General features: G+C 31.2%; 1 protein-coding gene across 9 annotated transcripts in view; it reads right to left on the reverse strand.

The window, feature by feature from the left end:
- CSMD3 (CUB and Sushi multiple domains 3) overlaps positions 1-14,552 on the reverse strand; it is a 1,214,012-nt gene that overhangs the window by 351,551 nt on the left and 847,909 nt on the right. For all 9 annotated transcript variants that reach the window (NM_001363185.1, XM_017013010.2, NM_052900.3 and 6 more), the window contains one exon: positions 12,588-12,757. In NM_001363185.1, the coding sequence (NP_001350114.1) occupies positions 12,588-12,757 (170 nt within the window). The remainder of the gene's footprint in view (positions 1-12,587; positions 12,758-14,552) is intronic.

Genomic DNA, 14,552 nt, shown 5'->3' on the forward strand with positions numbered 1-14,552 from the left:
TCTAGAAATATGAGATATCTAGAAATACGGGATATGAAATATGGGACATGTTCATATATTTCTAGATAGTTTCCTAAAAAGTGTGTAGTAATTAAATCCAGGGTTTACCAACAATGCATATTACCATTCCTTTTCCTGTAAGGCATGCATTCTCAACATAATCATTATGACCCCCAAAGGTGTAAAAATTGGTTCTTGGGAGCAATAATATTTTAGGTATCACAATGATTTGTGGTTTCCCAAAGATCAACTCTCCCTGACAGACTTTATTCCATACTATTTTGTTTCATGGAGTTTCATGGGCTTCTTAGGTGAACAATAACAACAAGAAAAATTGGAGAATACTGCTTGAAGTTACTGATCTCTTAGCTCAGATTGCCTTACTTACTCATGGCCTGGTATTAGAGTAAAAATTATGTTGTTGGATTCTACATCTAGGGATCTTGCCATAGCATAAATGTTCCTCCATAATTACATTGATGTCACCTAAGAGATGATGTTTTAGGTGGTACACAATGGAATGTTTTATTATTATTATATTAATCTGAATAATATATTTTTTCTTATACTAGATTGTTGGTTTTAAACCGATGATTTATTTAGAACGTTTCAATATGATCTATAAATAAAAACTTGTGAATAATTAACCTTTCTTTCAAAGTAACTTTATTAGAATTTAATGTTAAGGTTATGCCAAATTTTTTTCCACGGCTCCTAAATGTTCTCTTCTAACCACATTAACCTAAACATTTTCTACACAGAAATTCTAAGTCTCCACTGACAAGGCCTTTCTTGCACGCTCCATTTGTAATTGATGGAATCTATAGACTCACGTGTACCCTCTAGGCTTCTACAGTTTGTTTACTTGTTCTTTACAGCAGAGAGAGAAGGTAGAAATAAGAGAAAGTAAGGAATTGAGAATCTTAAGTTCAAGGCGACATGGTCATTGAATTCCTAACAGCAAACATTACTTGGTCTCTCTCTTTTTATACACTCTGTCAAGTTTTTAAAAAATGTACATTCACTCTTGAGAGTATTTGGATACTAGAGGGCTGTATACACAAATTTCCTAATATTATAAGGGAATATCTTGAATCCCTGGAGGAATCTAATTTATCATGCAAATAAGTTTCTGTTTTAGTTATCAGCAAGAATGTATCTGTCTTCAACAAAACCAAACCAAATGTTGAGGTTGGTAGCTCAGGCATGCATGATTTTTGTTTGATTACATAACATTCAACTTTTCATTTCTTAAGAATAGTAGTCATTGGGATAATGCAGAGGTAAGAAAACCTTGCTTGTGGCAAAATATAACTTGTATGTCTGTGAGTCTGAAATGTTCAATATTCTCAAAAGTATGCTTCTGAATACATTCATTTTATGATTCTATATTACATAGTAAATAAATTCTTTGTTTAGAGCTACACATTCACAATCAAATCATTTAACCACTAGATCCAGTGGATCTTATTTGTGGTAATATTATCAAGGTATCCCCAAATAATATTTTCCTTGTGTTCCCCTTAACTTCTCACCAACATATAATTTAATTGCTATGAAAAATATAAATATAAATAAAATACAATCAATTGTTTCTTGGATAAAACTATTTCTCTATTTATGTGTGGATACATTGTAAGAACTTTCAGTTTGCCAAAAATAGTCAAATAAAGGGAGAATATAAATGGAACAAGTAATTAATGTAACTGGGGAAATAAAAATTGGATGTTGAAATTTGTTTCTAATTTCTTTAAAAAGTCTTTCCTAATTTTTAAAAAATCTTCAGGAGTAATGAAAAGCAAAAATTAATGATAGTAGAAACTATTACTTGATACATATAAATTTTTCCTATATATAACAATGTAAAAACTAACAAAATAAGTCAACATTTAGTTATTTAGTTCTAAGCCTTTGTTAGGTGCTGTAACTAAAATTAAAAAAATAACATAGTAAGACATCATTCTTAACCTGAAGATCAAAAACAAATTAACACAAAATTGTCTGTATATTAGATTAGAAGCACACAGCATACATTTTTTTTCCTTTTGTTTTCTTTTTTATTTATTCATTTTTTTGACAGGGTGTCTGTTGCCCATGCTGGAGTGCAATGGTGTGATTATGACTCACTGCAGCCTCAACATCCCCCAGTTCAGGTGACCCTCCCATCTCAGACTCCCAAGTAGCTTGCACTACAGGCACACCCCACCAAGCCTGGCTAATTTTTGTATTTTTTATACAAATGGGTTTTGCCATGCTGCCCAGGCTGGCCTTGAACTCCTGGACTAAAACTATCTCCACACCTTGGCCTCCCAAAGTGCTGGGATTACAGGCATGAGCCACTGCACCAGGCAGCATACATATATATATATATATATATATGAAAGAAGCTTTTTATAAGACACATTAAAAAAATAATCATTTAAAGAAAGGGCATGATAAAAGAGCTAGTACTTTCAGGAAAGAAAAATTATTTTAAGTACAGCTGGGTGAATATAATTCAGTAACAAAATCTGCTAACTACAATTTATTTAACACTGTTGAGTCAAAAGGTAGAAAACAAATACTGCTGAAGCTCCACTATAATCATCAAAATAAAATGAAACTGGATCATTCAACTGTTAAATTTTGGAAGCATGCATAAAATTGCTTAATCAACATGAAAGGCAAGTATTAATTAGGAAGCCCTTAAAAAGAGAAGATTTTTATAGTAATGATCAAGTCAATGCTATTTAACTCATAAATAAAATCCTTCAAATTTAGTCAAATATATGAAAACATAAAGGCAACAAAGGGAGAAAGCAGTGTAACCAAAGATAAATTACTTTTAAAGTGGTCATGAATACAAGCATACAAATAAGAAAACAAAACAAACAAAATATGCCTTTTGTTCAAAAGTAAATAAACAGTACAGAGTGATTAAATTGGGTCTGACTAGAGCCGTAGGACTTTTATTTGAGACTCTTAGTGCTCATATTTCTGTTCTAATTAAAATCAAGACCTTTAAGTATGTTTTTGTTTATTTAAGCATAATATCCCCTTTCTTTTTGTTTAATATGTATTATTATTATTAAGTTGACTTAAGGATTAATATCATGAAAGTTATTGATGGCTTTTATAATGTTAATGAAATTCTTTGCTGAGACTTTAATTTGTTAAAAGGTTGCAATTGTCTGATTACTTACACCAGAACAAACTAAAACTTAACATTGCCATGTTTTAATTGCCAAAACTTTTTGTAATAAATCTAGGCCTGAAATTAGTTATGGTGTACAGACTCTCCTGAATCCAGTAGGTTGAACCGTATTACAACAAACTACTTATCAACACTCAAAACTCTTGCTGTTGTGAATGATATGATAAATATATAAATAGAAGGCATATTCTAACTCATTTATCTAATGAATTAGCAATTAAGGTGTTAACATCAATCCAAGAGCAAAAAGTAAATATAAAAGTAAAATGTGAAGACAGAAATTACACATGAACATATGTATAATCATATAAATCTCCAATTTATTCCTCCTCTTGGATCCTAGCATTTTTACTTTTGGTCATTTGTTTTATAGGTTGATTTGGAAATTAAATACATTTTCTAAAAAGGTGAATTAGATGTCAAGTTTGCATATAAAATAAAGAACAATTTTTATAATGGTCAATCAAAAAAGTCTCTATTCTAAAACTTTTAATATTCTCTCCAAAGATAATATAAAATAGAGTAGAGAACTTTTGTTTGCATTCAATTATTTAGGTTTCTAAAACAGCTACATAATGTATTCTCAATTATACGAGCTAGTATGTTTTAGTGAAGGAGAAGGGGCACAACGAAGGACCAACTTTACAGGGGCATTCGGTTTTTTGTTATATAATAGAGTTGAACTTCCAACTCTACATTAAAGTTCTGCAGCTTATTACAAATCATTTTATTTTCCTTATCCTTAATGGAAGAGGATGAAGGGTTTTATGAGGCCTAACATAGCAGTCTCTACAAATTGGCACTTTGAGAGTGCTTTTGAAGGGAGAGTTAATACAGAATTCCAATGAACAGCAAGCAGAATTGGCAGATATGTGTGCTGGACATATAAGATCACCGGTGTGCTGGAAAATGTTTAACAACCAACTCTCAAACAAACAACAAACAAAAAACTGCTAAATGTGTATACTTGTACATAAGGTTTTTAAAATAACATTTATTGCAATACAGAGATATTGACAAACTTTTTCTAAGAAGGGTTAGATAATAAAATTTGAGGCTTTGAGAAGCATACCATTTCTGTCACAACTACTCAGTCCTGACATTGTGGCACAGGAGCAGCCATAGACAATATGCAAATGAATGGACATGGCTTTCTCCCAATAAAATTTTACTTACAAAAACAAGTGTCAGGCCTAATTTGGCTCACACACTGTTGTTTTCCAATCCCTGATTTTAGGGAGGTGTCGAGCAATGTACAAATAGTAATAAAATATACAATATTCATGACCATACATTTCATATAACTAATTGATTTTTACAGAATGCTTTTATTGTTTTTGCCAGACTTTTGTGTATGCAATTTATGATTGCAACTGACAAACAAGAGTATTTCCTAAATAAATACTGCTTGATCATCTTTAATGTTAACAAATAAAAGGAAAGTGAAAAATCAAAAACAGGATTATGTCAGAACTTCATTAGTTTGTAAATGATATGAGCAACTAATTTGGTTAATTAAATAATAGTTTTCAAATACTGAAAAAAATATTTCTTCAATATATAGTGCTACTCATAATGTAATGGGCACAGACACAACCCATTTCCACTTAAATCTATGTAATAAGCAAACAACAAGTTAAGCCATGTTTTGTAGCATTTGCCAATTTCTACAGTGTAAATACTCCCATTGGCTGACATCAAGCTATCATTGAATGTGAATGTGATGTCATTGAATGTGGAGTTGGTTAGAGACCACAGTGTGGCATGGTATTTCTACCATAGGGATACAATATACATAAATAACCTCAAAAGCACAGATAATAGTAAAAGTATTCCAATAATTAGAAAATTTTAAAAATTATATGTATTGCTCTTGTTTTTAATATAATTTAAGTTAATTTAATTGTAGTTTAATTACAATCTAATTGTAATATAACTTAATTTTTGGCACTGGCTATGTTCAACAATCAGCTCTCAAAATTACTGAAAATTTAACAATAGCCTGTCATAAGTGCTATTCCCAAAGACTCACACATAGATAGGAAAGAAACTTGAAAATAATACACTTTAGAAAACAACAGGTTAATAACTTTATCATGTCTCTACAAGAATGTTATTAATCAAGTCCTTTGAGTATCTAATTTTTCATAAATGTGACATCATTCCTCCTAACCTTTTCTTTCCCAGTTTCAAAAGCAATTTTGCGTTACTTTACTGGCTTTTCTCCATAATCATCCATAGTCTACATTTTGCATAAGAAATAAATCTTTAGACTACACAATTGTAACCGTGGTAAAAAGATTGCCTTGAATTTTGGAATAGAATAAATTCTTTTCCAAAGAATAAAGGAATGCCCTGCTACATTCCTTTATTCTGAACATTGTCCTTAGTTTTTATTTGAAAATAACAACAAACACAGCAACAATGAAAACAGAAAATAGTATTTCTCATTGGTATTCAATTTTCATTCTACCAGGCTGACAATGGGAGCTATTTGATGTTAATTGCACAGAGCCTACATATAATAAACCCCTCTTATGAATGTTAATTGAAAGAATTAATTAGATTACATATTTACAAGTAAGGGTGAGGGAAGAAGTTCAGTATTTCTGCAATATCCTATGCCACTTTGAAAAAAATAAAACAATCAGACCCCAAACAAACTAGAGAAACATTCCCTAGATGAGTTAAGCGGAGAACAAATTAGTTAGGTTCTGATTTAGGTTTCTTAGACAGGACCTTGCATCTTACCCTTTTTGTAGGAGGAATAATAGAATGCCAATAATTAGACAATAGAGGGAACATGTACCTGGCTTTCTATCTGGAGCCCAGAAAGGTGGCAAACATGCTTGCAGAAAAGAGGTAGGAAAAAAAAAAAAAAAGATACTGGGGGTTGGTCAGGCAATTGATCCTGAGCCAGCCACATGGAATTCTGGTGTAACTCAGTGTCATATACAGAGTAATTGAAAAATGCTTCTTATGAGCAGAGCAGAATATACTACAGAGAGCTGGTAGATGCAAAGAGGTTTTGCAGTTGGGATAACTAGGATCCAGCAGTGGATGCCCAATTGTACTGCTGACTTCAGACCAAGTAGCAAATGAGAGAGCTCAGCAGCTGTTGCCACAAACAGATAATGCCCTAGGACAAAATGCACTTTTTATTTTTGACAACTTGAAGTCTTGATGCCAAAATATGTGCAGACGTTGAATTGGCAAATACAGAATTGACTGAGTTTATCCTGAATTGACCTAGATTAATTTTCCCACTGCCCAGCAAAAAGGTTGTTGAAAATAAAAATTAGGTCATTTATACAAAAATCTTTTGCTACATTTCTTGCAAATTTTGATCCAGACTCTGAAATGTATTCCTATTACATGAATATTCACTGAATATTTTTGCAGGGGCAGGCATTGTGCTGAGTGCTTTATAAACATCATTTAATTTAAAAACATTATCTAATTTAGTCATTACAGCAATCCTGAATTTAAGTTTTTATTATTATCAGAATGTTTCAGGGGAGGAAGGTGAGATTTAGAAATCTGGAGTAATTTTTTCAATAATTGTGTGACTATTAAGTGACAGGTTTGAGATTTGAACCTAGGTTTACCTGTCCCTAAAGCCCATTCTTAATGACAAAATAGGTGTGTAGAAAAATAATCCAAAGCACAATATGTTTTCAAAGGTTAGAATAAATTTGTGTAATGTTGATTGAGTGGGCATGTTTATCTAATAATATATCACCAAATATAACCCTAAATTTTATTAGCTATATTTGGACAAAATAACATGGCAATGGGGGAAATATTTAAAAGTAACTATGTTTTATAAAAATATATTCACTTTTATTAGATTAGAAACAATAACAATTGAACTTAATTAGAAAGGAAATATGTTTCTCTTGCTTTACATAGAAAGTAGCTGAAATTATATAGTAAATTTGTCCTTTCTAGAAGAAAAGAATGTTTATGGAGCATTTACTATACGACAAGCATTGTTCCTAGATGCTGGAGTTAAAGTGGAGTTAAATAGTTCCTGCTGTCTTATAGCATGCGTTCTATTGGAGAAGACAAAAATTAAAGGAATTAACTATGAATGCATAATATTTCAGGTTGTAGATCAGTGCTATGAAGAAGAATAAATCAGATTAATAATGGAAAGAGATGATGGAGGTGAGTTTACCAGTTTATAGGAGGGCCCATTGAAGACTCTGATCATATGACATTTGAGTAGAGACCTGAAGGAAATGAGGGACACAGCCATGTGGTTATCCTGAGGAAGAATATGTAAGCAGAAGAAATAGCCTGAGCAAACGGCTTGGTGTTAGAGCATGTGATATGGTTTGAATGTTTGTGCCTTCCAAATCTCATGTCGGAATGTGATTCCACTGTTGGAATTGGGGCCTGGTGGAATGTGATGGCATCATGGGGGCAGAACCTTCGTGAATGGTTTAGCACCATCCCATTGATATAAGTGATTCTCTCTCAGTTAGTTCACGTGAGATCTGCTGGATTAAAAGCGTGGAACCTGTTGTCCCTTTGCTCTCTTGCTCCCTTTCTCACCACGTAAAACACCAGCTTCTCCCTTCACCTTCTGCCACAATTGTGAGCTTCCTGAGGTCCTCACCAGAAGTCCAGCTGATGTTGGTGCCATGTTTGTAGAGCCTGCAGAACTGTGAGCCCATTTAACCTCTTTTCCTTATATATTATACAGCTTCAGGTATTTCTTTATAGCAATGTAAAAAAAAAAGAGGGAGGCCTAATATAGCATGCTTGGTATATTTGAGATACTGCAGGGAGGCCATTATGCCTGGAGTGGAGTGAGCTAAAGGAAGAGTGGCAGGAGAAAATGTCAGGCACAGTAAAATTACGCCAAATCATAGGGCTATCTAAGCCATGGTTAGGGCTTTAGATTTTACTTATAATGAGATGAGGAACAAAAAAAGGTTTAGAGCCAAAGCATAACATGAAAAAGGGTCACTTTTGTTGTTGATTTGGAAACAGTCTATAGAGTATGCTATGGTCTCAATATTTGTGTCCCCCCAAATTTGTATGTTAAAATCCTAACCCTCAAGGTGATGGTATTAGGAAGTGAGGCCTTTGGGAGGCTAACTGGTCATGAGGGCAGAGTTCGTAAATGGAATAAGTGCCCTTGTAAAAGATACCTCAAAAAACTTATTCATCCCTTTCACCATGGAGTTCACAATATGAAAATGACTCTTTGAGGAAGGTGGCCATCATCAGACATAATCTGCTAGTGCCTTAGTCTTGAACTTACCAGCCTTCAGAACTTCAAAAAATAAATTTATGTCGTTTATAAACCACCTGGTCTATGTTATTCTGTTATAACAGCTCACATGATCTAAGATGGTGGAAATAGGGTGATCAGTTAGAAACAATGTCAGTTATCCAAGCAAGAGATAATAATTTAGACCAAGGTAATTTACAAAGGTGAGAAATGATTGGTTCCGGAAGTGTGAAGAAAAGAACCATAGAATTTGCTGAGGAATAATATACAAAGTGTGAAAGAAACAAGGAAGCAAGAATGAACTCTACTTCGTCCTTGAGTAACTAGTTTCTATCTACTGAAATAGAGAAAAATGAGGAGAGAGGAGATGTGTGTTTTGGACTGGTGAACTTTGAAATACACATTAGTCATTCAAGTGGAAATAGTTGAGAGATCATTTAGATAGAAACTGGATCTTATCACAGGTCAGAGCAGATTTTGCACTGGTTGTGCTGTTCTGTCAATGTACTTTAAGGCATATATGTTTCAAAGTTTTTTTTAATGTGAACATTAAAGGATTTTTTATAAACAAAATATAGTTCATATATCTTTTTATATTCCTTAAAGCTGCAGTGTCAAGTGAAATCCAAACCTACCTGTGGTGTGTCATTAAAATTTTCCAAAAATAAGTAAGTAGCACACAAGAAAATTGTCACTTAACCCACTTACTATTCCTATATGTAAACATTAATAGCAGAAGGCATCTAAAGTGTGAGTTTCCTATACATTAATGGATAGAAGGGTATATATTTGTTCTATCACCATTATAAAAACACATAATCAGCCAAGGTTGGTCATAGTGAACAGGTTAAAATACCCATTAAGTAAGCAAATTGAAAAGAAAAGATACATTCCTAAATGATCATTTTGTACCAGTTTTGTTCAATTCAGAATGGATGCAGTGAAATTTCCTTTCCACTTTAAGTAAGAATCACACGGGAATTTTTATTTCATTTATTATTACTATTATTATTATTGCTTTTTCATGGCTAGAAAATGTTCTGTTTGCCTAAATAGGATTTTCTCAGATGTTATTAAAATTATTTATCCACCTTTGACAAATGACACAAATGAACAAAAATGTTTTACAAAAAAAAAGTTTCAATCTGGTATAAAGTTAATGACTCAAAATTATCTAGTAATATTGAGATCAATTTTTATTATTTAGAGTAACAGTGTGCTACCTTGGAAGCACTACAGTAAAATATTTTGATGTATAAACTTTCTTCATTTTAACACTAGAGCCAAAGAAGGATATAATCATAATTACTACATTGATGGTCATCAGATAATCTGGAGAGCTTTATAAAAATCCAAATTCCCACATGTAGAGGAACTGAATCAGAAAACCTGGGAGGCGTGCCAGTAATCAAAACTTAAAAAAAATCTAGAGGAGTCATATGATGGCTTACACTTGGAACTCACTGGTGTAAACTCTACTGGTATGGTTTTAAATAAAGTTGTTTATAGAAAGAAAGGAGGAGAGAAGAAAAAAGACAGCAGATAAGTGAGCAAGTGAGTGCCATCCTGGACACTGAACTCTGAGATAAAAGTTGTACACGAATGTTTGCATGGAAATAGATGTAGATACACACATATATTATTGTTGTTATTGTTATTTTTGTTTTGGTCAGAATCCAATATAGTTATGTCATACAGTAAACGAAACCAGAAAAAAATCTCTCCTCCTAAACTTGATTCTCATATAAGGATTACAAGACAGTGTCATTCCAAAAAATATAATCAATGCTACCACATAAAAGAAAAAGCAATGATTTTAAATTCTCTCAGTCAAGGGGCAGCAGATTTTATAATGGGCTATTTGTTTTTATTCCTTATTATATGCTAGTTTAAATATAGGGATCTAACTGACTCCACTATGTTCGATATTGTAAAGTACTGGAGATGGGGATTAACTTTCATGGATTAGTTTTCAGTTAGGCAAATAACTTTCCACCCTAAGATGACTTTAGGCTCTACAATTTTTGAGAATTAATCATATGTCTTTTTGAGGGTTCATCTTTCTGCTTGTATATAACTAAATGTTTCCATGTCAAAGGGTATCTTTCAGCTAATGGTTTCTCGTTGGATTAATGGGAAGAATGAGGTAACATTAAGCATCTTACCTCTTATTCTGGCAGAGAGACCATGAAGAAGACAAATAAGGAATCTAAAAGTTCACCCTAAATTGTCTCTATAGAGTGGCTTGCTGAAATTGTTTTAAAGTAATAATTCAGAATAAATCTCAGGCAAGCCTATGAATAGAAGGATAATTGAATTGGTGTGTTTCTATTATAATATTTAGTATATAATATTTTCAACTTTGGGGAAAATATATTCTTGGAAAATTACAGAATTCTTAAAAGTTCTTGAGGACATAAATTTTTTAACTTTTTAAACATATAAGAGAAATCTGTATTTGAAGAAATCATTTAAAGGGCCTTACATTGAGTCTTTTTTTTTTTCTGCCTTCTTTTGTTGTTCCCTATTACATCCCCTTGTGTTGTCACTTATGACTGAAGCTCCACCCTTCTCAAGGTAGCACATATCAGAAATGCATGTGGCTTTACTCCAAATAAGTAAGACCTTTTAGAAAGTTTTATTTTATTACTGAAAAGAATCATTTGTTATCCCAAATAAATTACCCAAATAATACCAGTATAGGAAAGAAATGAATGAATTTTAAGCATCACAAAGAAATATTTTAGGTAGAACAATAATAGGCATGAGTGAAGATGTGAAGAAACATTTCCTGAATTTTAGCTCACCAATGCATGTTTATTATTGTTGCTTCTGCATTACAGAGTAGTAGCTAGATTAGCTTACAGATCTTATCTATGCATTGATACATTTTCCCCCCATAATTTGCTTGAAAATAAAAAGCACTGCCTCAGTTCTATATACAAGCATCCTATTAATCTCAATGTTGGCTCCAATTGAAAAAACATAACTTACTTTAACAGAAACACCCAAACAATGAACTAGAGGTGGGAGAGTTTTACATAGTGAATTTTGTTGCCAGTTGGAGAAAAATGCAGAAAATAAGAATGCATATATTGATCCTAGATTAATGTTGAAATTGTATACATCTAGATACATTGTGAGAAATTTTCCCCAAAGCCTATACAAATCTTATAAGCATATCATGTTATTGTGTTAGAGAGCCATCAATTACCATGAAATAATATTTTTTTAAAAAGAAACTAACCAATAACATTAAAATCAATCATTAAAAAAGAATTCTCCTGCTGCAGCCAATTTGGAATAACATAATTTTTTTTCAAGATTTGTGAAAACAGAAGTATAATGAATTTTTCACCTGGCTTTAGAAAAACTTAACAATTAGAAAAAAGCTACATAACTATTTTAAAAACATTTAAATGTGATTTTTGGAAGTGTTTACTTTTACTCTAATGATAAATATAAACTATATTTACCAAAATATTTATATTCAAAATATAAATCAGCAACTATGAAAATATTTATTTGCCAAAATGTTATCTTTTTAGAAAAGTAGATATTTGATTATTTCAAAGTGTTTAAATAAATAATGTTTACACCGATAGTCATTATCAACAAAGTATATTTTTTCTTAATTGATAGACATTGACTTGTTAGGTTTATATATTCATAAAATGTATCCATAGTCATAAATGCAAAAGATTCTTCACGTATTAACAAAAATAAATAAGTTACATTATAGACAATAGAATACAAATAGAAACAAGTCACTATTATATTTCTTAAAGAAATGACTATCACATTACATGACGGTCATTTGATGATGTTTTATATATAATAATTTATTAGACAAGATATTTGACATTAAAGTTTTCTTATTTTGGTATTATTAAGACATTAAAATTTATGTATCATAAAACAAAAATTTACCTTTTATTATAAAAAAATTGGAAACAAAACATACTATTTCAATGAAAACAATAATAGAAAATGAGAATTAATGTATAATTTGAATGTGTGAATGGTAGAATCAACTTACGGTTAATACTATATACATACACATATATATATAGATGTATATATTTATCTATTGATGTATATTTAATGACTAAAAATGAACAATATACAAGTATGTCTGAGTTCACCTACCTTAAGAACATCTCCTTGTGCTAAATGAAATGTTCTGGCTGAAATATTGATTCCCTTTCCTGCTTGAACCTGAATACTATAAATGCATTCATGGTTGTTTTCATAGTTGAGTGGATAATTTGGAGACAGCAAAATTCCTTCATTATTCGTTGCAGATGCACCACATTCAGCTGCAGGTAAAACAGAATATTGAAGTACAGTTTAATAGATAGCAGTATCATTTTCAAGCAATATCATGTATGGAAGTGTTATGCATTTTATTTTACCTAAAGCCTAGTAGAAAAATAATATACAGAATGGCTTTATGTTGTAAATGATTAATTCCCTCCTCAAATAACATATGGGTGGAAGAGACTACAGCCCATGGAGAGGACACTGTGTACAAATGAAAATATACAATAGTTGTAGTAATTTTCCCCCTGGATTAAAGGATAGCATAGGAAAGGGTGAGAGCATGAACTTAAGAATGTATTTTACATTTGTGATTTCTGATAAATGTAATACATTTAAATTTATAATTTAGCTCTTTTAAATGAAAGGGTTTTGAATAATTCTAACTTCATCTTTTAAAACATTTTTACCTTTTTAATTAATTTGACCCTTCTTTTTTCTCCTAATACTCAGTATTCCGCTGACACAAGAATTTCAATAATAAAAAGGGAATCAAATATTACATTATCTTTGAAAACTGATATAATAGTTAAACCCCCCTGGTAATAACAATTAAACAATAATTGTAACAAATTAGGGATCTTTAGAAATTATATCACCTTTCTCAGTATAGAAAATTAGACTAGATTAAGGCATTCTTATAATAGATAAAATGGTACTGCTAAACCTTCAGGACTAATTTTGCAAAATTTGAGGAACTGTCTAAACATTTAGGAAAATGTGAGAATTTCTCAACAAATTTAGTTCGAACTTAATTTTAATGTATTTAAATATAAAAAGCTTGTGGCAATATTGCAAAAGAAAACAATAAGTCCTTCAAATTCTTAAATATGTTTCAGAAATTCAATAAACTAAGTTTTCTATCTTATCTAATAAATTACTTCATATTACCAAACCATAGGGCAGAAATATTTACATTTTCAAATATTTAACTGAAAAGGAAAAAAAAAACAAGTTGTTATTTTCTAGAAATAAGATTTTAAAAATAATGATTTATGGGAACAGTCAGAGAAAGACAACAAGGTGAATAATGAATTGCTTTACCTTTTAAATGCTTAAACATTAACAAAAATAAGGCAAAGGAAACAAAAGCCTAATGAAATAAAAATGATCAAAAAGAAGCACTCAGTATAATATCAACATTGTGTGAAATAATAATAAAAACTAATGTTATGGTACTAATAGCCAGTATTACACAATAAAAGTTACCCCTAAATTCCTTTTAAAGAAAAAAAAAAATCAAAGTTCCAATATTGATTTAAATTACTTTATTTTAATGTTACTTAAGCATGTTCAAAAAATAGATATGTCCTTATGCTTTTAGCTGCGTACAATTATAATACCAAAACCAGTTTACAAATACAGGAACAAAATGACAAAAACAATAAAATAAAAAATAGCAACATGTATCTAATAAGGCATAAGATTTTGTTTTCCTAAAATTAAATCGCCTTTGGCAATGTGGATCAGGTAACAGCTGCTCCAGTGTAGGCTTTTGAAGTTTGTTATACCTTTAATTACTCTATGCTGTGTAACAACTTGATTCTCATTCATACTATGCCTCTGTGAACTGCTGAGAAACTTTCATCCATATAGTGCAACATAATGCCAGGCGTCCATCACTTAGTGGAAATCATTTACATTTTAATTCTCCTTTATTTTTTTCTACTAGGTTTTTGGAATACAGGTATGTTTGTGGAGGCATGAAGACAAATGTAATCTGGATTACACAGGTGATCTAAAATGCACATATATTTTTGTCAATTAGATTATTTAGAAGAGAATGCAAATTAT

This window comes from Homo sapiens, chromosome 8 (assembly GCF_000001405.40).
Source record: "Homo sapiens chromosome 8, GRCh38.p14 Primary Assembly".
NCBI classification, from domain to species: Eukaryota; Metazoa; Chordata; class Mammalia; order Primates; family Hominidae; genus Homo; species Homo sapiens.